This window comes from Homo sapiens, chromosome 7 (assembly GCF_000001405.40).
Source record: "Homo sapiens chromosome 7, GRCh38.p14 Primary Assembly".
NCBI lineage: Eukaryota > Metazoa > Chordata > Mammalia > Primates > Hominidae > Homo > Homo sapiens.
Genome location: NC_000007.14, coordinates 152489838 through 152513991, shown reverse-complemented (window position 1 = coordinate 152513991; position 24154 = coordinate 152489838). Strand labels below are relative to the sequence as shown.

The 24154-nt window shown below is 45.8% G+C and overlaps 1 annotated feature.

The window, feature by feature from the left end:
* Positions 13583-14083: an enhancer, noted in NCBI's record as "H3K27ac hESC enhancer chr7:152196994-152197494 (GRCh37/hg19 assembly coordinates)". NCBI's record gives its function as "activates a minimal SCP1, AML or CMV promoter by ChIP-STARR-seq in primed H9 embryonic stem cells {active_cell/tissue: H9 hESC(primed)}" and the evidence as "EXISTENCE:reporter gene assay evidence [ECO:0000049][PMID:30033119]".

Genomic DNA, 24154 nt, shown 5'->3' with positions numbered 1-24154 from the left:
TCCTCACTGCAACCCAATGACATAGGAGTCATCTACCTGTAATAAAGCTGGGAAAACAGGCTCTGGGAAAGGTGAAGGAGGCTACCCCAGACGGCATAACGAAGCTGGAGCTGACATGTGATCTAAAACCCAAACCCTCTGCTTAGTATTTCTTTTCCTTTTTTTTTTTTTTTTTTTTTATTTTGTTTGTTTGTTTTGAGACAGAGCCTTGCTCTGTAGCCCAAGCTGGAGTGCAGTGGCGGAATCTCGGCTCACTGCAACCTCCGCCTCCCAGGTTCAAGCAATTCTCCTGCCTCAGCCTCCTGAGTAGCTGGGATTACAGGCGCCCACCACCACGCCTGGATAATTTTTGTAGTTCTAGTAAAGACAGGGTTTCACCATGTTGGCCAGGCTGATGTCAAACTCCTGACCTCAGGTGATCTGCTTGACTCGGCCTCCCAAAGTGCTGGGTTTACAGGCGTTAGCCACTGTACCTGGCCAGTATTTGTTTCTTTACTGGCAATTAGCTCTATCTGTCTATCTATCATCTATTTCTTTCTGTGTTCATCTGTGGATATCATTATCATATTACCATAAATTATAAATACCTTGAGTTTCAGCTGGGTGTGATGGCTCACGCCTGTAATCCCAGCACTTTGGGAGGCCGAGGCGAGCAGATTGCCTAAGCTCAGGAGTTTGAGACCAGCCTGGGCAACATGGCGAAACCCTCTCTCTACTAAAAATACAAAAAAAAGAAAAAATCCGGCTGTGGTGGTGGGCGCCTGTAATCCTAACTACGCGGGAGGCTGAGGCACGAGAATAGTTTGAACCCGGGAGGCAGAGGTTGCAGTAAGCCAAGATCGTGCCACTGCACTCCAGCCTGGGTGACAGAGCAAGACTCCATCTCAAAAAAAAAAAAAAATTCCTTGAGTTTGGAAGCTGACTTCTACTTCCTTTTTATTTTATTTTTGATTGCTCATCATTCAACTTCACCTACTTCCTTTTTATCTACAAAAAGTGATAGGTACAGTCCTCCGCTACAGAGCTAGTTCAACAAAACCACATACGAGAAAGCCTAAGGGTTGTTCCTGCACCTGCTGCTGCTGCTGATTAATTACTAAGTCATAGCTTTCCTGTCTAGTTTCCCCTCCACTTTTTTTTTTTTTGACACAGAGTTTTGCTCTCGTTGCCCAGGCTGGAGTGCAATGGCACAATCTCAGCTCACTGCAACCTCCACTTCCTGGGTTTAAGCGATTCTCCCTCCTCAGCTTCCTGAGTAGCTGAAATTACAGGCATGTGCCACCACGTCTGGCTAAATTTTTGTATTTAGTAGAGATGGGGTTTCACCATGTTGGCCAGGCTGGTCTCAAACTCCTGACCTCAGATGATCCACCTGCCTTAGCCTCCCAAAGTGCTGGGATTACGGGTGTGAGCCACCACGCCCGGGCTAGTTTCCCCTCCACTTCTTTTTTTTTTTTTCTTTTTCTTTTTTTTTTTGAGACAGAGTCTCACTCTGTCGCCCAGGCTGGAGTGCAGTGGCGCGATGTCAGCTCACTGCAAGCTCCGCCTCCCGGGTTTCACGCCATTCTCCTGCCTCAGCCTCCTGAGTAGCTGGGGCTACAGGCGCCCGCCACCACGCCCAGCTAATTTTTTGTATTTTTAGTAGAGCCAGGCTTTGACCATGTTAGCCAGGATGGTCTCGATCTCCTGACGTCGTGATCCACCTGCCTCGGCCTCCCAAAGTGCTGGGATTACAGGCGTGAGCCACTGCGCCCAGCCTTTCCCCTCTGCTTCTATCACCAGTGTCCCATGGTGACCTCCTTACTTCCTATTCCTTGCCCCAAACCACCATCACAACTCTGAGACCCCCATTTCTCTGGTGTTCCTCTCTTTTTTATAATTGCTTCTCAAGGCAAGCTTATCTCCTCAACCAAGTGCAGGACCAAAATAAAAATAAAACAAAAACAAAAAACAAGGAACAGGGGCCGGTTGCAGTGACTCACGCCTATAATCCCAACACTTCGGAAGGCTGAGGTGGGAGGATACCAAGGAAAAGTGGATTGTGTAAAAGGGAGAAGTAGGCTGAGTGCAGTGGCTCACGCCTATAATTCCAGCACTTTGGGAGGGTGAGTCAGGAGGGTCACTTGAGGTCAGGAGTTCAGGACCAGACTAGGCAACATAGCAAGACCCTGTGCCTACAAAAAGTTAAAAAAAAAAAAAAAAAAAGCCAGGCGTGCTGGCTCATGCCTGTAATCCCAGCACTTGGGGAGGCTGAGGCAGATGGATCACGAGGTCAGGAGTTCGAGACCAGCCTGGCCAATAAGGTGAAATCCCATCTCTACTAAAAATACAAAAATTAGCTGGGCGTGGTGGCACACACCTGTAGTCTCAGCTACTCGGGAGGCTGAGGCAGAAGAATTGCTTGAACCCAGGAGGTGGAGGTTGCAGTGAGATCGTGCCATTGCACTCCAGCCTGGGCAACAGAGCAAGACTCTGTCTCAAAAAAATAAAAAATTAGCCAGGCGTGGTGGCACGTGCCTGTAATGCCAGGCTGAGGCAGGGGGATTGCTTGAACCTAGGAGTTCAAGGCTGCAGTAAGCTATGATGGTGCCGCTGCACTCCAGCCTCGGCAAGAGAGTGAGACTCTGTCTCTAAAAAAGGTGAGGGTGTGTTGAGAAATTGCTGAGGGAAGACTTGGCATGCAGAGGAGATGGTGCTGGACGAGCCTCTGCAGGAACACAGGACTCTCCACCCCAGAGAGATACCTGCATACGAATGAATGTGTTCATTTGGCTTCTCGCGTGTAGAGTTGAGGTTAGGAGCATGGACTCTGGATTCATCCTGCCTGGATTTGAATCCCAGCTCCCCCACTTACAAGCTGTGTAACCCTGGCCGAGTTCCTTAACCTCTCTCTGCTTCAGTTTCTCACCTGTAAAATGGGAATAACCATAGAACCTTCCTAATTGGGCTGTAGTTAAGATTAGGTGAGTTAATAAAAGTAAACTTAAGGCATTGCCTGCCATACAGTAATGGCAGTTGACATGACATCAATGACTATGATGATGATGATGATGGTGAAGAAAATGTCCTCCCCATAAACAAAACAAAATTGTACACACACAAATATATATTACCTCTATCTTGTATTCTACTGAAAATTAACATCTCTTTATGCTTACTAGATAGATAGTTATACACTCGTTATCTTCAATACTAATAAAGTTCCTCTCTTGTATGTGTTTTAAGTTTTTTCTTTTTGGTTGGGTTCGGTGGCTCACACCTGTAATCCCAGCACTTTCGGAGGCCAAGGTGGGCAGATCACTTGAGCCCAGGAGTTCAAGACCAGCCTGGGCAACATGACGAAACCCCATCTCTATTTCTGTTTATTTATTTTATTATGATTTTTGTGTGTGTGCTGTTGCCTAGGCTGGAGTGCAGTGGCACGATCTCGGCTCACTGCAACCTCCACCTCCCAGGCTCAAGCAATTCTCCTGCTTCATCCTCCCAAGTATCTGGGATTACAGGTGCACGCCAGAATGCCCAGCTATTTTTTTTGTATTTTTAGTAGAGATGGGGTTTTGCCATGTTGCCCAGGCTGATCTCAAACTCCTGAGTTCAGGCAATCCATCCACCTCGGCCTCCCAAAATGCTAGGATTACTGGTGTGAGCCACCCCGCCCAGCCCCATCTCTATTTTTAAAATTTTTTTTAAAAATTCTTTTTATTTTGCCTTGAGTAGGAAATGATTCAAAATAGGAGTAGAAAGGAAACCTTCAGAAATTTGTGATGGCCCTTGTGACATGTGTTATTTTATTATATATGCTTGGTCATTTAATAGTTTTTGCTTTGGATTTTTTTTTTCTTTTTTTGAGACAGGGTCTCCCTCTGGCACCCAGGCTGGAGTGCAATGGTGTGAACACAGTTCCCTGGAGCCCCTACCTGCTGGGCTCAAGTAATCCTCCCATCTCAGCCTCCCGCATAGCTGGGACTACAGGCATGAGCCACCAAACTCTGCTAATTTTTTTTTTTTTTTGTAGAGATGGGGTTTTGCCATGTTGCCCAGTCTGGTCTTGAACTCCTGGGCTCAAGTGATCCTCTTGCCTCTGCCTCCCAAAATGCTGGGATTACAGGCATGAGCCACCATGCCTGGCCTTGGTTTGGACTTTCTAATTGCAAAATAACACATACATGCACACTTTTTTTTTTAAACGGAGTCTCACTCTGTCGCCTAGGCTGGAGTGCAGTGGCACGATCTCAGCTCACTACAACCGCTCTCCCAGGTTCAAGCGATCCTTCTGCCTCAGCCTCCCGAGTCGCTGGGACTGCAAGCACACGCCACCATGTCTGGATAATTTTTGTATTTTTAGTAGAGACAGGGTTTCACCATGTTGGTCAGTCTGATCTAAAACTCTTGACCTTGTGATCAGCCACCACGCCGGCCCACACATTCATATTGTAGAAAATTCAAGCATACCAGAAGCCGACGGGAAAAATGGGACTGTCCCCTTGCCACCTTTGCCTTTACCCTGTTCCCCTCCAGAGCAAATCACATTCCTCACTTAGTGTGTGCCTTGCAAGCTACTTTCTATGCCCTTACACAAAGATACCTTTTTTGAACAGCCTTGATTTTTTTCAACATATAAAACTATCTGTTTGCTGTTTTTTCAACTTGCTTTTTTCCACTTACATAGATCATATACAGCCTTGCATACATATCAGGATATAGATATATACACACACATATATATTTCACTCCTTTTAAGAATTATTAATGATTTAGCAATTATTGTTTTAACCACCTCTCAATCCATAGACATTTGTTTCCAGTTTTTGCTATTGTAAACAATCCTGCAAGAAACATTAGCTGTATATATGTTTGCATCATTATGCTTTAAATTTTATTTACACTCTGCTTACTACTAAAAAGGACTTAAAATAGCTAAAAATTATTTTTTCAGTTGAATCCAAATCTAAAAGATGCCAGGTGTGATTTAAGATGACAAAAAGGAAGAAGAGAAGAATCAAGCTAATGTCAGAAAATGTATAAGTGAATTAAGCTAAAATGCTAATTTTGAGAGGGTAAAACAGATGGGGCTTTGTAATATGTGATCCAAAGGTTTCTGGAGACACTTATGTTTGAATTAGAAGATACTGCCTGAGATTTCTTGGCAGCAGAAGTGGAAAGCAAAGTGATGTTAAATTGATTTTTTTTTCAAACAATTACTCCCACCAAATCATCCTCCATCATTCTATTTTTAAATACCAACAAGCATGTTGTATACATTTAAAATCAATGAATACTATTTAATAAAATTTTGTATTTATGTACATTTTCCATTTTTGCATTTTCATACTTTTTCTGTCTTCTCATTTCTAATGCCAACACTCTCGTCGATGTTAGAAATTTTATGAGAACTTTGCCCTGTCTTCTACACTAGCTAATTTAGAAAGAGGAATGGCCTCCACCCTGAGGTTCTTCCCAACAGATACATGCCCATGAAAAATCTCTCCAGAGGCCTCGGATCGCATTCCATCAAATGTGTCCCTCGTAGCCACCCATAGCTATATAAAGAGATATTTGGGGCTGGGCGTGGTGGCTCACAACCGTAATCCTGGCACTTTGGGAAGACGAGGTGGGCGGATCACTTGAGGTCAGGAGTTCAAGACCAGCCTGGCCAACATGGTGAAACCGCCTGGCCAACATGGTGAAACCTTGTCTCTACCAAAAAATACAAAAATTAGCTGAATCTGGTGGCGCATGCCTGTAGTCCCGGCTACTCGGGAGGCTGAGGCACGAGAAGCGCTTGAACCCAGGAGGCCAAGGTTGCAGTGAGCTGAGATAGCACCACTGCACTCCAGCCTGGGTGACAGAGTGAGACCGTCTCAAAAAAAAAAAAAAAAAAAAAAAAAAGATATTTGATAGTAATGTTGCCCTAATGGAAACTCTTTCTAAGAGCTAGCAAGGCCAAGTTTGATTAAAGAAAACTCTGAGAATATATACGATGAATACTGGTAACGATGGTGATACTAGTAAGAATATTGGAGGAGGGGTGATAGGAGAAAAACTCAAGAGAAATCCAGCTGGCAGTCAAATGTGAGTTATTTATTTATTTGTTTTTATTTTTTATTTTTTTGAGACAGAGTCCCACTCTGTTGCCCAGGCTGGAGTGCAATGGCATGATCTTGCAACCTCCGCCTCCCAAGTTCAAGCAACTCTCATGCCTCAACCTCCCAAGCAGCTGGGATAACAGGCACGCACCACCACACCCGGCTAACTTTTGTATTTTTATTAAAGATGGGGTTTCACCATGTTGGCCAGGCTGGTCTTGAACTCCTGGACTCAAGTGATCTGCCCACCTCAGCCTCCCAAAGTGCTGGGATTACAGGTGTGAGCCACCGCACCCGGCCAAATGTGATTTAAATATATAGGAGCAAACAGGCTCTTTCTTTATGGGTCATTGCTTTTTTTTTTTCTTTTTTTTCTTTTTTTTTTTTTTTTTTGAGACGAAGTCTTGATCGGTCACCCAGGCTGGACTGCAGTGGTGCAATCTTGGCTCACTGCAAGCTCTGCCTCCCGGGTTCAAGCAATTCTCCTGCCCCAGCCTCCCGAGTAGCTGGAACTACAGGCACATGCCACCACGCTCAGCTAATTTTTTGTATTTTTAGTAGAGAGGGGTTTCACTGTGTTAGCCAGGATGGTCTCGATCTCCTGACCTCATGATCCGCCTGCCTCGGCCTCCCAAAGTGCTGGGATTACAGGCGTGAGCCACCACACCCAGCCAGGGTCAATGCTTTTTCTACAACTAAATGAAATTGTTGAAGTCACTTGATTCTTTTTGCCACCATCCCCATGTTATCTCTCCTGAGTATGGAGGAGAGGCCTAGAGCATCTATCCCTCCTCTGAGAATTTCGCAGCATCTTTCAAATCACACCGGGTAGGCCAGGTACGGTGGCTGATGCCTGTAATTCCAGCACTTTGGGAGGCCAAGGCAGGAGCATACTTGAGCTCAGGAGTTTGAGACCAGCCTGCACAACATAGACAGACCTCATATCTACTAAAAAATAAAAAAACAAAAAAATTAGCCGGTCGTGGTGGTACACACTTGTGGTCCCAGCTACTCAGGAGGCTGAGACGGGAGGATTGCTTGAGCCCAGGAGATTGAGGCTACAGTGAGCCATGATCATGCGACTGCACTCCAGTCTGGATGACAGAGATCTTGTCTCAAAAACAATGGCCGGGAGCAGTGGCTCGCGCCTGTAATCCCAGAAGTTTGGGAGGCCGAGGGGGGCAGATCACTTGAGGTCAGGAGTTCAAGACCGGCCTGGCCAACATGGTGAAAGCCCATCTCTACTAAAAAGACAAAAATTAGCCAAACGTGATGGCGTATGCCTCTAATCCCAGCTACTCGGGAGGCTGAGACAGGAGAATCGCTTGAACCTGGGAGGTGGAGGTTGCAGTGAGCTGAGATCGTGCCACTGCACTCTAGCCTGGGCAACAGAGCGAGACTCCGTCTCAGTAATAATAATAATAATCCCCACACTTTGGGAGGCCGAGGCGGGTGGATCACCTGAGCTCAGGAGTTCGAGACCAGCCAGGCCAACATGATGAAACTCCGTCTCTACAAAAAATACAAAAAAATTAGCTGGACGCGGTAGCGGGAGCCTGTAATCCCAACTACTAGGGAGGCTGATGCAGGAGAATCGCTTGAGCCTGGTAGGCCAAAGTTAAAGCGAGCAACATCATGCCACTGCACTCCAGCCTGGGCGACAAGAGTGAATGAAACTCCATCTCAAAATCAATCAATCAATCAATCACGCCACTTAGGCATCTGGTCACTACTTCCTCTTGTTCTCAAGGTCTTTCCTTCCTAAAGACTATAGCCTCTAGGGTGGCACACCTTAGCCATCTCCATACCTCAGCCATGTGACATGGTCTCAGCTGGAAGCTGTTCAACAGCCTCCTTATCTAAGGCTTGGGCCTTTGCTGGGGCACCCGCGGCAAAATATTATGTGTTGGAACCTCAGTATGCTCAGCTGTAAAATTGATATGACTGTATTATAGCTCTTTTTCCTTGTTCCAGCTTGCCCCCAAATCACTGGAACAATTAGGACACTCACCTAAAGCACTTTGGTGTCCTTGATGGAAGGTCCATGTCAAGAGGTGTGCTGGACGGAAACACATTGGGTCTTACCAGCCTGCAGGAGCAGACTGGCAAAATTTCAGGGATTTTGCAACCAGGGAGATATCACCCTGGTAGCCTGAAATTTGTTTTAGTGGAATATCAGCACCATAGAAATCATTAAAAGCTACAAACAGCACCTTTGAAAAAAATGTATTCCAGGCCAGGCACGGTGGCACCTGTAATTCCAGTACTTTGGGGGGCCAAGCAGGACAGCTCACCTGAGGTCAGGAGTTCGAGACCAGCCTGGCTAACATGGTGAAACCCCATCTCTACTAAAAATACAAAAACTAGCCAGGTGTGGTGGCAGGCACCTGTAATCCCAGCTATTCAGGAGGCTGAGACAGGAAAATCACTTGAACCCAGGAGGCAGAGGTTGCAGTGAGCCAAGATCAGGCCACTGGACTCAGGTCTGGGCAACAATGAGACTCCGCTTCAAAAAAAAAAAAGAAAAAAAAAATGTATTCCAGAGAGCTGTTTACAAAACAATTACCAGCACACCACTAGTTTGTCTAAATTTTTGAGGCTACTTTTTTTTTTTTTTTTTTTTTGAGACAGAATCTCATTCTGTCGCCCAGGCTGGAGTGCAGTGGTGCAATCTCAGCTCACTGCAATCTCCACCTCCCGGGTTCAAGCGATCCTCCTGCCTCAGCCTCCTGAGTATGTGGGATTACAGGCGCCTGCCATCACACTCAGCTAATTTTTGTATTGTCAGGAGAGACAGAGTTTCATCATGTTGGCCAGGCTGGTCTAAGAACTCCAGACCTCGTGCTCCACCCGCCTCGGCCCCCCAAAGTCCTGGGATTACAGGCGTGAGCCACTGTGCCCGGCCGTGTTGGGGCTACTTTCTAACTACTTCTGACTGATCACTTTGGTGACAAAGGAAATGCTGAATAGATAAGGGGAATCCAATTCTTTTGAGAGTGTCTTTTCAAAGATCCTGCCCACTTTCAGTGAAATAAACTAGACGAATTCCAGGAAGTGTGGACACTGAAAAAACTACAGTAAAGTTCTAGAAGATTACCCCAAGTCCTGGCTGACACCAGCACCTGCTCACAGAGTCCTTCCTTAACAGAGCTGACCAGGGTCTGCATCTGGTGCCAGGTCGTGAAACCTCCAGGAGGGACTAAGTGTGCCCCCTGAGCTAATTGTGGAAGGCAGCTGGGGAGAGGGCCAGCTCCAACCAGCTCTACCAGTTTTCCCCAAGGCCATAGGCAGATCTCCTGGGAACGTCTCCTGAGCTCATACCTATCATGGTTTCAGTGTTCCTGCTTCTGCTATGGGAGAGGATCAACAAACCATTGGTGGGGGGTGGGGACTGCAGTGAGGACAGAGCTTTAATGCCAACTGGACGAGCATGAGCTGTAACTATTTGGCTGTCCTTCTGAATTTCTATTGCTCTGCAAATATTCTCTGAAGAGCAGCAATGAGCAAGGTGAAGCAGGCAGATGTGGGTGAGACTGGGCTGGTATCACCCCACCCATCCGCCCAGCTAAGCAATCTTGGGCAGGCCACTTGTCTATGCCTCAACTTCCTTGTCTGCTAATTGGGGACAATACCCTTATAGGCTTGCGTGGAGATTTAATAAGTCTCACAAAAGTCTCAGAACGAGGCTGGCTTCAGGGGTATGCTGTTAGTGCCGTGACACAGCGTCCCCATGCTCAAAAGGGTCCCACACTTGGGACTGAATGTTCTGCAGTCATCATCTTGAAATTCTTTATTTTTTATTTTTTTGATATGGAGTTTTGTTCTTGTCACCCAGACTGGAGTGCAATGGCACGATCTCGGCTCACTGTAACCTCCGCCTCCCAGGTTCAAGTGATTCTCCTGCCTCAGCCTCCTGAGTAGCTGGGATTACAGGTGCGTGCCACCACACCCAGCTAAGTTTTGTATTTTTAGTAGAGATGTGGTTTCACCATGTTGGCCAGGCTGGTCTCGAACTCTTGACCTCATGAGATCTGCCTCAGCCTCCCGAAGTGCTGGGATTACAAGCATGAGCCACTGCACCCAGCCTGAAATTCTTAATGATTTTGTCTTTGAATTTCTGTTCCCACAGGGCAATGGAGTGCGCATGCATCATGGACTTGTAGTGCAGTGTGTGGTCCCACCTCCCTGCCTCCCCCTGGCAGGTTCCTGACTGCCCATTCCCCTGTCCCCTGCACCCTGGGTTCCATGGCCCCCTCCCCACTCCCACCTGGCCACCTGGCCACCCTTCACTCTGGGCAGGGCCTGAGTGTGGGTGCAGGAGGATCAGGGTAAGGCACGTGTTCCCTGGTGTCTTGAGCACACAGCATGCTCCCGAGCACCCCCGGTGGGGGCAAGCCTCTTGCCTGCTGCCTACCCAGGTACCTAGTGTGTGCTGGTGCAAACTTTGCAATGCCTTGGAGGGTGACCTCTCTGCCACAGATTGGGTGGTAGGCTCCTGGCCCCTAGCCAGGGCATGGTGCATTGGTCTAGTGGCTAGTCAGAGTGGGGCTCAGTGGCAGATGGATGCGCCTGTGAACACAGAATGGTAGGGCAGGGACCCCAGCCCTTGGGAGCGTCCCCACTCCTCCAGGAGCATCCTTGATGCTGCAGGGAGTATAATATTCAACAGAAGATTTACAAACAGGACAGTTACACAGATAGATCATGAAAAAAAGAATACTTTGTATTTGGTACCCTTTTTTTTTTTTAAGACAGGGTCTTGCTCAGTTGCCCAGGCTGGCATGCTGTGGTGCAGTAATAGCTCACTGCAGCCTTGAACTCCCGGGCTCAGGCCTCCCACCTTGGCCTCCTGAGTAGCTGGGACTAGGTGCACAACACCACGCCTAGCTGATTTTTTTTTTTTCTGAAGTAGAGATGAGGTCTCACTACGTTGCCCAGGCTGGTCTCAAATTCCTGAGCTCACACGATCCTCCCAGCTCAGCCTCCCAGAGTGCTGAGATTATGGGCGCAAGCCACTGTGCCCGGCCTGTACTTGGTACCTTTAACAGCACTTTTCTCTGCTGTTCGAACAAGGAGCCCTGTGTTTTCATTTTGCCCTGAGCCCTGCAAATTATGCAGCTAGTCCTGCTGAGAACATTACCTGGCACACAATAGGTGCTCAATCAAAGTTAGTAAGTAGAATTATTATGACAATATATACATTCCCTGTGGAGTCATGTACCTGAGAGGACCATTCCACATCTTCACATGTAAGGATAAGGGTCATGTCTGTTCAGTATCGCGTGGGTCTTGATACAGCATCTTGTGTTAATATGAACATCCAGCCGAGCGTGGTGGCTCATGCCTGTAATGCCAGCACTTTGGGAGGCCGAGGTGGGCAGATCCCTTGAGGCCAGGAGTTACAGACCAGCCTGGGCAGCATAGTGAAACCCCGTCTCTACTAAAATACAAAAATCAGTCGGGCCTGTAGTCCCAGCTATTTGCGAGGCTGAGGCTCGAGAATTGCTTGAACCCGGGAGGTGGAGGTTGCAGGGAGCCAAGATCACACCACTGCACTCCAACCTGGGCCACAGAGCGAGACTTTGTCTCAATAATAATAATAATAATAACATAAACATCCACAGCAACAGAAGATGACATTGATTGCTGCGGTGACCTTTAGCATTCAATTTTTTTTTTTTTTTTTTGAGACAAAGTTTCACTCTTGTTGCCCAGCCTGGAGTGCTATGGCACAATCTGAGCTCATTGCAACCTCCGCCTCCCAGGTTCAAGCGATTCTCCTGCCTCAGCCTCCCAAGTAGCTGGGATTACAGTTATGCGCTGCCACACCCAGCTAATTTTTGTATTTTTTTTAGAGATGGGGTTTCACCAGATTGGGCAGGCGGGTTTGAACTCCTGACCTTGTGATCCGCCCACCTTGGCCTCCCAAAGTGCTGGGATTACAGGCATGAGCCACCACCTTCTTTCAAAGAGCCAAGCACTAAATCTTTATTGAATATCTACCTGGGGAGTAGACAATCTACCTGAATCTAGGGAAGCCTACTATAACAATTCTTTAAAAGGGGATTCAGCTCCAAGTGATGTACTGTGAACTGTACGTGGCATGGGGACCCAGAGAAGGGAGGGATCAATATGGCCTTAGAGCAGTGACAAGCTAATCTGAGTCACATCAAAAGCATCTTAGACTCAATGACACAGAGTGCTGGGCCCCCCAGGGTTGCCAGCTCAGTAGGTCTGGGGTTGCAGGAGTGAATTTCCAGTCCCAGGTGACACTGCTGCTGCCGTACTGTGCTTTGAGAACTACTGTTGTAGACTAGACCAATCCAGGAAGCCTTCATGGAGGAGAAGATCAAGACTTAGTAATTAGCGCAGTTAGTTGATTGGTGGGAAAGAAAGCAATTGCAAACAGAGGGAATGACATGAACATAGGCACAAAATCCAAAATGAGAGTGTTTTGTGTGTGTGCGGGGAAAGGTTTTAAGGAGACAAGGGTGACATGCCTCCTGGTAAGATATTCTGTTCTGATGAGCTATGACTGTGCACTTCTCTCCAAAAAATAAAATAAAATAAAATAAAAATTTTCAAAAATTGGCAAAGATAAATCATGCTATTAGAATAAAATTTTTTTTACTTCTGTTGTAAAACCAGAGTTGTAAGCCATGAAAGTAGATATTATTTTTCTCTAACCCTGTCACCAAAACTCTGTGTGTGTGTGTGTGTGTGTGTGTGTGTGTGTGTGTGTATTGTCAACCCAAAATATCTGAGACAGGTCTCAGTCATTTCAGAAAGTTGATTTTGCCAAGGCTAATGACCACTCGTGAGACAGCCTCAGGAGGTCCTGCGGACATATGCCAGAATGGTCAGGATACAGCTTGCTTTTATACATTTTAGAGTGACATGAGACATCAATCAATATGTGTAAGATGTATATTGGTTTGGCCGGGCCCGGTGGCTCATGCCTGTAATCTCAGCACTTTGGGAGGCCGAGGTGGGTGGATCACCTGAGGTCGGGAGGCCGAGGCAGGTGGATCACCTGAGGTCGGGAGTTTGAGCCTGACCAACGTGGAGAAACCCCGTGTATACTAAAAATACAAAATTAAACAGGCATGGTGGCGGGCGCCTGTAGTCCCAGCTACTCAGGAGGCTGAGGCAGGAGAATCGCTTGAACCCGGGAGGCGGAGGTTGCAGTTGGCTGAGATCGTGCCATTGCAATCCAGCGTGGGCAACAAGAGCGAAACTCCATCTCAAAAAAATAAAAAATGAAAAAAAGATGTACATTGGTTTGGTCCCAAAAGGCAGGACAACTCAAAATTGGGGCTTCCAGGTCCAGGTAGATAAGAGACAAAAGACTGCATTCTAGTCCGGGCACATTGGCTCACACCTGTAATCCCAGCACTTTGGGAGGCCAAGGCAGGGGGAATCACTTGAGACCAGGAGATCAAGACTAACCTGGCTAACACAGGGAAACCCCTTCTCTACCAAAAAAATACAAAAATTAGCTGGATATGGTGGTGCACCTTTAGTCCCAGCTTCTCAGGAGGCTGAGGCAGGAGAATTACTTGAACCTGGGAGGCAGAGGCTGCAGTGAGCCGAGATCTCCTCACTGCACTCCAGCCTGGGCAACTGAGCCAGACTCTGTCTCAAAAAAAAAAAAAAAAAAAGGTTGCATTCTTTGGAGTCCTTGATCAGCCTTTCACTGAATACATAACTGAGCATGACTCAGTGAATCTGCATTTTTACATAACCAGTAGAGGAAGCAATCAGATATGCCTTTGTCTCAGGTGAGCAGAGGGACGGTCCCTCATCTGTAAAGATAAGCTATCAATTTACATTGCCAGGGTGAAATTCAACAGAACTGTTTTAGGGTAAAGATCTTGAGGCCCACAAGGAATTTCTCTGGGGGCAAATTGTGAGGAAGGTATGTAGCTTTTATTTATTTATTTTTATTTATTTATTTTTAAGACAGAGTCTGCTCTGTTGCCCAGGCTGGAGTGCCGTGGTGCAATCTTGGCTCACTGCAATCTCCGCCTCCCGAGTTCAAGCCTCCTAAGTAGCTGGGATTACAGGTGTGCGCCACCACGCTTAGCTAATTTTTGTATTTTTTTAGTAGAGACAGGGTTCCACCATGTTGGTCAGGCTGGTCTCAAATTCCTGACCTTGTGATCTGCCTGCCTCGGCCTCCCAAAGTGCTGGGATTACAGGCGTGAGCCACCACACCCAGCCATGTAGCTTTTTTCTAATTTACTTTTTTTCTTTTTTCTTTTTTTTTTAAAATACCACAATCAGGCCAGGTGTGGTGGCTCATGCCTGTAATCCCAGCACTTTGGGAGGCCAAGGCAGGTGAATCACGAGGTCAGGAGATCGAGACCATCCTGGCTAACACGGTGAAACCCCGTCTCTACTAAAAATACAAAAAAAAGAGCCAGGCGTGGTGGCGGGCGCCTATAGTCCCAGCTACTCGGGAGGCTGAGGCAGGAGAATGGCGTGAACCCGGGAGGCGGAACTTGCAGTGAGCCGAGATTGCGCCGCTGCACTCCAGCCTGGGCGACACAGCAAGACTCCATCTCAAAAAGATAAATAAATAAATAAGAAATAAAAATACCACAATCATGATTACATGAGGTATATAGCTTTTTTATCTTTGTAACTATCTTATTTAGGAATAAAATGGGAAGCAGGTTTGCCTGACACTTCCCAGCCTGACTTTTTCCTTGGCTTAGTAATTTTGGGGTCCCAAGATTTATTTTCCTTTCACACTATATAGAAAATACCATGTTACAAAGGATGAGAACACTCCTGAAATTAAAGTATTGGTCCCTTGGAGAGCTTTCTTTTACACTTTCTGTTTGTTTTTTCAAAATTCAGTTTATGACACTATTCCACTGTAAATAGTCCCTTTAAAAGTCCTAGGTCTTTAAATATTTATCTGAGAGCTTCAGTTAAAGCTCTCAGTGGCTACTGATATTTTGACTTTGTATTCTCTGCAAATCTTTAATAGTATACAGCTGCCATTTTTGTAAACATTAGTGGTAAGAAGAATAATTTACTGAAAATAACAAAGTTTTACAGAAAACAGACCTGGTTCATATTCAAATTTTGCCATGTCTTAGGAACTTGTCTAATGCCTTTAGGAAATAAATAATGACAGCCTGGCACAGTGGCTCACACCTGTAATCCCAGCACTTCGGGAGGCCGAGGTGGGCAGATCACAAGGTCAGGAGTTCGAGACCAGCCTGGCCAACATGGTGAAACCCTATCTCTACTACAAAAAGATACAAAAGTTAGCCGGGCGTAGTGGTGGGTGCCTGTAATCCAAGCTACTTGGGAGGCTGAGGTAGGAGAATTGCTTGAACCCGGGAGGCAGAGGTTGCAGTGAGGCGAGATTGCGCCACCGCACTCCAGCCTGGCAACAGAACGAGACTCTGAAACAAAAAAAAAAAAAAAAGAAAAAAAGAAAAAAGAAAATATATAATGACAACCTATTTGTATTAATGAAGATAAGGTTCAGCAGCAAGTAATGAAAATGCCAACAATCAGTGGCTTGAGCAGATAGAAGTCCATCTCTCCCTTAGATAAAATCAAGGCTGGTTCTGCCATCCCTGGGTGAGGGACCCTGACTCCTCTGTCAGGCTCTTGGCTGCACGTCACTCCATGGCCTCAGGTGGTCCATGCCAGCTGTCTCAGCCCTGGCCTGCTCCTCTGCGTGCTGGCCAGGAGAAAGAGGAGAAAGGGAAGGATGATTTCCAGAAGGTGCCCACTCCAGCTGTAAGAGGGGCTGAGCATTGTAGTGTTCACAGCCAGGTGCCCAGCAAAAAAATCAGGATTCTTGTTACTAGAAAAGGAAAAATGCCTGGGCACAGTGGTTGACACCTATAATCCTGACATTTTGGGAGGCCAAGGCAAGAGGATTGCTTGAGCCCAGGAGTTCAAGACCAACCTGGGCAACATAACAAGACTTCATCTCTACTAAAAATAAAATAAAATAAAAAAGCCGGGCACGATGGCTCACAACTGTAATCCCAGCAGTTTGGGAGGCTGAGGCAGGTGGATCACCTGAGGTCAGGAGCTCAAGACCAGCCTGGCCAACATGGTGAAAACCCATCTCTAACAAAAATACAAAAATTAGCCGGGTGTGGTGGGGGGCGCCAGTAACCCGAGTTACTCAGGAGGCTGAGGCAGGAGAATCACTTGAGCCCGGGAGGCAGAGGTTGCAGTGAGCCAAGATCATGCCATTGCACTCCAGCCTGGGCAACAAGAGTGAAACTCCTTCTTAAAAACAAAACAAAACAAAACAAAACATATATATATAAAATCAGGGTGCAGTGGCATGTGCGCACAGTCCCAACTATACAGGAGGACTGCTTGAGCTATGATTGAGCCACTGCACTCCAGCCTGGGTAACGGGGTGAAACTTTATCTCAAAAAAGAAAAGGAGCACAGATATTGAGGATATGTCATTTAGATTATATCTATGAAATCCCTACTAAAGTTCTATACAAAGGCAGTCACAAAACACTAATTATGACTGTCACCACTATCATATATTTGTGTTGCCCGTAAATGGATCATTGTCTACAATAAGCCAGGCGTGGTGGTGGGTGCCTGTAATCCCAGTTACTTAGAAGGCTGAGGTAGGAGAATCGCTTGAACCTGGGAGGTGGAGGTTGCAGTGAGCCAAGATAGGCCCACTGCACTCCAGCCTGGGTGACAAAGTGAGACTCCATCTCAAGAAATAATTTTTAAAAAGGATCATGTTCTTAATTTATTATTTCTTTTTTTTTTTTTTTTTTTGAGACGGAGTCTTGCCTTATCACCCAGGCTGGAGTGCAGTGGCGCCATCTCAGCTCTCTGCAAGCTCCGCCTCCCGGGTTCACACCATTCTCCTGCCTCAGTCTCCCGAGTAGCTGGGACTACAGGCGCCCGCCACCACGCCTGGCTAATTTTTTGTATTTTTAGTAGAGACGGGGTTTCACCGTGTTAGCCAGTATGGTCTCGATCTCCTGACCTCATGATCTGCCTGCCTTGGCCTCCCAAAGTGCTGGGATTACAGGCGTGAGCCACCGCGTCTGGCGTATTATTTCTTTAAGTAGGAAATTTCTACTAAATGAGTAACAGAAAATGTATCATTATTTTCCTCCTCTGCAGTAAAAACTAAGACGGTAAAATAAATGTGTATTCTGCATAATTTACCAGATATATACAAAGCACTATTCCATCAGGAAGGATGTCTTCTGCTCTTAGGAATGGAAAACTCAGTTAAACACAAAACACAGTAGGCCAGGCGCAGTGGCTCATGCCTGTAATCCCAGCACTTTGGGAGGCCGAGGTGGGCGGATCACCTGAGGTCGGGACTTCAAGACCAGCCTGACCAACATGGTGAAACCTCGTCTCTACTAAAAATACAAAAATTAGATGGGCATGGTGGCACGTGCCTGTAATTCCAGCTTCTCAGGAGGCTGAGGCAGGAGAATCGCTTGAACCCAGGAGGCAGAGGTTGCAGTGAGCCGAGATTATGCCACTGCATTCCAGCCTGGGCAACAAAGTGAGACTCTGCCTCAAAAAACACCAAAAACCAAAACACAAAAACACAAAACACAGCTAAGCACAATTCATCTCATATAACAAAATTTTGGCAAGAAGTGAGCTGTCATTCTTATTTTTATCCCTCTGGACAAATTATATCAAGTATCTGTTACAGCTGTTTAGATTTTCTCTTTAACACTAGTTTTATGTATTTTTATTATACTTGTGACTTAATGTAGGTTTTTTGTTTCTATCTTTTGCTTGGGGTTCACGGAACTTCTTGGATCTGTGGGTTTATAGCTTTCATCAAATTCAGAAAATTTTTGACAATTATTCCTTTTCTTTCTTTCTTTCTTTTAAGATAGAGTCTCACTCTGTAGCCTAGGCTGGAGTGCAGTGGTGAGATCTCAGCTCACTGTAACCTCTGACTACAGGCTCAAGCAATCCTTCCACCTTAGCCTCCCAAGTAGCTGGAACTACAGGCATGCGTCACCACTCTTGGCTAATTTTTTTGTATTTTTTGTAGAAGCAGGGTTTTGTCATGTTACCCAGGCTGGCCTCAAAACTCCTGGGCTCAAGTGATCCACCCGCCTTAGCCTCTCAAAGTACTGGGATCACAGGCATGAGCTACCATGCCAGCCCACCATTATTTCTTAAAAAGAAATGTCCCTTCTCTTTCCCCTCTTCTTCCAGTACTCCAGCTTCATGTATATTAGGTATGCAAAGTTGTTTCACTTAGTGATGTTATGTTCATTTTTTTAAAGGCTTTTTCTCTTTGTTTCATTTTAAAGTTTCTATTGATGTGTCTTTAAGTTCACTAACTTTTTTTTTTTTTGAGACAAAGTTTCACTCTGTTACCCAAGCTGGAGTGCAGTGGCGCAATCTTGGCTCACTGCAACCTCCGCCTCCCGGGTTCAAGTGATTCTCCTACCTCAGCCTCCAGAGTAGCTGGGACTACAGGTGCCCGCCACCACGCCCAGCTAATTTTTGTATTTTTAGTAGAGACGGGGTTTTACCAGATTGGCCAGGCTGGTCTCGAACTCCTGACCTTGTGATTCACCCACCTCAGCCTCCCAAAGTGCTGGGATTACAGGTGTGAGCCACCAGGCCCTGCTGCCACTTTCTTTCAAAGAGCCAAGCAGTAAATCTTTATTGAATATCTACCTGGGGAGTAGATGATCTACCTGGATCTAGAGAAGTTTGCTGTATTAATTCTTTTTTTTTTTTTTCAGACTGAGTTTCCAAATTCTTATATTTTTAAAAAATTCTTGAGCTCTGTTCTAGGACACTGCTGAGTTACTTGGGAACAGTTTGATCCTTTGGAGATTTACCAGATAGGACCTGAGTCACCTTCGATGTCCTAGGCTAGTTTTTCTCTATTCCTGAGGCAATTCCTTTCTGGGATGATTTTTTCTCACCAGCTTTTGAAAATATCAACTACTCCCAGCCCTTTGGGAGCTTGGATTCTTGTGCCTGCTTCTTTCAGGTAGTTCTTTCCCTGGCCTTAGGTGCTTGTCTCCCCTGTAAGCCCTGGGCAGCTTAGGGGCACCCTCTGCAGCTCTCTGGAGGCCTTGACTTGTGCAGCTGTCTCCTCTCCAGTTCTCTGCCTTATAAACTCTGCCTGCCTTGGTTTCTCTGAACTTTCAATTCCATCTCCTCAATTAGAGAGACCTCCATACCATCCAGCTCCCAGCTCTGGCTGTGCTCAGTGAAGTAGCCCACTATTACTATTACTGTTGCAAATAGTGAGAGATACAGGCGCATGCCACTATGCCCAGCTAATTTTTAGTAGAGATGGGGTTTCACCATGTTGGCCATGCTGGTCTGAAACTCCTGACCTCAGGTGATCTGCCTGCCTCGGCCTCCCAAAGTGCTGGGATTACAGGTGTGAGCCACCCCACCCAGCCAATTTTATTGAATTTTTAATAGAAATGATTATATCATCTGAAATACTGATCATTTTGCTATTTCCCTTCCTGCTCTTACCTCTTGCATGTACCTCCTCTCTTGGCATAGAGCTGGAAGCCTCCTATTGTATGCCAAATGTTGGGGGGAATTGGCAGCAGGACATATGGCAGGGAGGACAAAGGTAAGTGGCCTCAAGGACAATGGAGGTAACATTGTCATGTTCCCTATCTTAAAGAAATGCATCGGCTGGGCGCAGTGACTCCTGCCTGTAATTCCAGCACTTTGGGAGGCTGAGGCAGGAGGACTGCTTGAGTCCGGGAGCTTGAGACCAGCCTGAACAACATAGCAAAACCCTGTCTCTAAAAAATTTAAAAATTAGCAGGACATGGTGGTACATGCTGTGGTCCCAGCTACTCAGGAGGCTGAGGCAGGAGGACCACTCAAGCCCAGAAGGTTGAGGCTGCAGTGAATCATGATCACACAACTGCACTCCAGCCTGGGTGACAAACTGAGACCCTATAAAAGAAAGAGAAAGAGAAGAAAAGAAAAGAATAAATAAAAGAAAAGAAAATAAATAAAAGAAAAGAAGGGAAGGGAAGGAAAGGGAGGGGAGGGGAGAGGAGGGGAGGGGAGGGGAGGGAAGGGAAGGGAAAAGGGAAGGGAAGGAAAGGGAAGGGAAGGGAAGGGAAGGGAAGGGAAGGGAAGGGAAGGGAAGGGAAGGGAAGGGAAATTCTAAAATTTCTGCATCACCTCTGAAATCTGCTGTAGACTTCTGGCATCAGGCTAAGAAGGTGTCTAAGTAAGAGAAAGAAATCTCAAACTTCTTTTCCTGGGCTACTGCTATAATATAAAAATAAGAATTCAACAGAGATAATAACACCTTAATTTTTTTTTTTTTTTTTTTGTGATAGAGTCTCACACTGTTGCCCAGGCTGGAGTGCAGTGGCACGATCTTGGCTCACTGCAACCTCTGCCTCCCAGGTTCAAGCGATTCTCCTGCCTTAGCCTCCCGAGTAGCTGGGATTACAGGCATCTTCCACCATCCCCAGCTAATTTTTGTATTTGTTACCCTACTTCAAGAAGACAGAGGCTTGTGCTTCTCTTAGAGATGGGATTTCACCATGTCGGCCAGGCTGGTCTTGAACTCCTGATGTCAAGTGATCCACCTGCCTCAGCCTCCCAAAGTGGTAGCATTACAGGCGTGAGCCACCATGCCCAGCCACCTTAAACTTTTTAAAAGGATTACTATTTGGAGCTTTGTTTACTTTTCTCAAGTATATATTCTTTACTATATATCTGTTCAGTTTTCAGTAAATTGATGAGTTTGCTTTTTTAGACTACTGCAAATGTATTGATACATTTCTAGATATCAAACCAGATATGATGGCCCATGCCTGGAGTCTCAGCTACTCAGGAGGCTTAGGCAGGAGGATTGCTTGAGCCTAGGAGTTCAAGACTGTACTGTGCTATGATCGCACCTGTGAATAGCCACTGCACTCCAGCCTAGGCAATGTAGGGAGACCCTATCTCAAAAAAAGAAAAAAAAATTTCCTAATGGGAAAAGGACAATATAAAAAATTGTGAAGGAGATTTCAGTTAATATTTTAAAATATTGTCCTCGAACCCCTCTGAGCCTGTCCTGGTTCTGAGAGCTGCCCGATAAATTTTATATCCTGTAATTCATAGCTGCAGAATCCAGAAAATGTTACCCTACTTCAAGAAGATACAGGCTTGTGCTTCACTTAGGATCTGCACCTGCTTTAAAATCTGATTCTGGATTATAAAAGCATCAGCTAGAAGTAATTTTTGTCTCAAAAAGCTCTCTACTATAACAACATAGGATAATAGCTAACACTTTGAAGTTAAGATTATTTTTTTCCAGATATTAAACAATGGGGAAAATTTTTTTTAATTAAAAAGCCTCAATTACAAAAGCAATACCTGCTTCCTGCATGAAAATTAAAGCAATTTTCAAGCTATAAAGTAAAAAATGGAATGTCTCTAACCTGCTTTTTCCTCCCCTATTCCTGTTACAGAGCTGTAGTTTATAACCTAGAACTTTGGAAAACCTTTTTGACAATATAACCTGTTAATTTTCTGAAAGCTGAACAGACATTATAGTAAAGAATATATACTTGAGAAAAGTAAGAAAAGCTCCAACTAGTAATCTTTTTAAAAAGTTTAAGGCATTATTATCTCTGTTGAATTCTTGTTTTTATATTATAGTGGTAGCCCAGAGAAAGAAGTTTGAGATTTCTTCGTCTTGAAATCTTTTTTTTTTTTTTTTTTTTTGAGACAGAATTTCGCTCTTGTCGCCCAGGCCAGAGTGCAATGGTGCGATCTCGGCTCACTGCAGCCTCAGCCTCCCAGGCTCAAGCAATTCTCCTGCCTCAGCCTCCCGAAGTAGCTGAGATTACAGGCGCCTACCACCATGCCCAGCTAATTTTTTTATTTTTATTTTTAGTAGAGACAGGGTTTCACCATGTTGGCCAGGCTGGTCTTAAACTCCTGACCTCAGGTGATCCACCTGCCTCAGCCTCCCAAAGTGCTGGGATTACAGGTGTGAGCCACCACGCCCAGCGAAAAAATTCTTAATTATCTGTTTTAGCCCCAGGGACACCTTGGAAGAAAGCAATTTTAGTGTGAGAGAAACAGAACGGTACCTTGCAGTGGGATGAGAAGGGATGAATTTCCCAGCATGGGTAGTGTGGCCAGGAGGAGCAGAGTGGAGGGTGAGTGTGGGAAATTCCACAGAGCTCTAAGTCTCCCATAGGAGTCACTCCAGCATAGGTTTGTTATTTTTTTGAAGTATTATGATGCCCCTAAACTTCAGATAGACCCCAATTCTCTGGTAATTACAAAGAACCTCTTATAAACTAATTAGAAATAATTGTAGGAGTAGCTGATACTTTGGGTTTACCCCTGCTGCTGCAAACACTGCAATAAGATAGAGGCCAAGTTTCTTTTTTTTGTTTTTTTGAGACAGAGTCTCACTCTGTCCCCCAGGCTGGAGTGCAGTGGGGCAATCTCGGCTCACTGCAACTGCCACCTCCTAGGTTTAAGCGATTCTCCCGCCCCCGCCCGCCCCCTGAGTAACTGGGACTACAGGCATCTGCCTCCATGCCCCGCTAATTTTTGTAGTTTTAGTAGAGACAGAGTTTCACCATGTTGGCCATGCTAGTCTTGAACTCCTGACCTCAGGTGAGACAAATTGGCTGGCACAGTGGGTCATGCCTCTAATCCCAGCACTTTGGGAGGCTGAGGCAGGTGGATCGCCTGAGGTTAGGAATTTGAGACCAGCCTGGTCAGCATGGTGAAACCCCGTCTCTACTAAAAATACAAAAATTAGGTGGGCATGGTGGTCGGTGCCTGTAGTCCCAGCTACTTGGGAGTCTGAGAGGGGGAAATTGCTTGAACCCAAGAGACTGAGGTTTCAGTGAGCCAAGATTGCGCCATGCACTCCAGCCTGGGCGACAGAGTGAAACTCAAAAACAAAAAAAGATAGAAGCCAAGATTTGTCATCAGATATTCTGAATAGTACCAACCCCATTATAAACACTCAAATCAATGTTAGATGGTGCAACAGCAACAAATGACAACCCAGGGACCTTTGCTCCATCGCCTTTAATTAATGATGAAATGATAGCAGCTTTAAGCAGAGAGGCAAGGCAAAAGGTTTAGAAGAGATGGTTCTATTTTGCTATTGGTCTCCATTCCCCACTTCCCTTCTTGTTGCATTCAGAGAGAGGATAGAAAAAAACACTCGGAAGGAAAGACAAAAAGAGAGGAGCATTTTTAAAAGACATAAATTGTAATGGAAGAGCTACAAGATTAATCATTGTTTCTGCTTTTTTGAGACAGGGTCTCGCTCTGTCACCCAGGCTGGAGTACAGTGGTGTGATCTTGGCTTATTGCAACTTCTGCCTCCTGGGCCTCAGGCAATCCTCCCACCTCAGACTCCCAGGTAACTGGGAATACAGGTGCATGCCACCACGCCCAGCTAACTTTTGTATTTTTTTGTAGAGATAGGGTTTTGCCACATTCCCCAGACTGGTCGTGAACTCCTGGGCTCAAGTGATCTACCCACTTTGGCCTCCCAAAGTACTGGGATTACAGGCATGAGCCACCGTGCCCAGCCCTACAAGATTAATCTTATTTCTGATTTATTTATTTACTAACCGTGTTAGTAACCTGTGAACCTCAGTTTCTTCAGTTTTTTTTTTTTTTTTTTGGAGAGACAGGGTCTCACTATGTTGCCCAGGCAAATCTAGAACCCCTGGCCTCAAGTCATCCTCCTTCCTCAGCCTCTCAAAGTGTTGGGATTATAGGAGTGAGCCACTGTGCCTGGCCTCTGCAACTTTAAAATTGGGCCCAGGAGTTCCACACCAGCTATGATCACACCACTGCACTCTGGCCTGGGTAACTCAGCGAGACCCTGTCTCAAAAAAAAAGAAAAGAAAAGAAAAAAGAAGGATTTCTGACTAGATATCAGAGTTGTGAGATCAAGAGATAATGTTGGAATAAGAAAAATGGGCATGGTGGCTCACGCCTGTAATCCCACCACTTTGGGAGGCCAAAGCAGGTGCCTGAGGTCAGGAGTTCGAGACCAGCCTGGCTAACATGGTGAAACCTGGTCT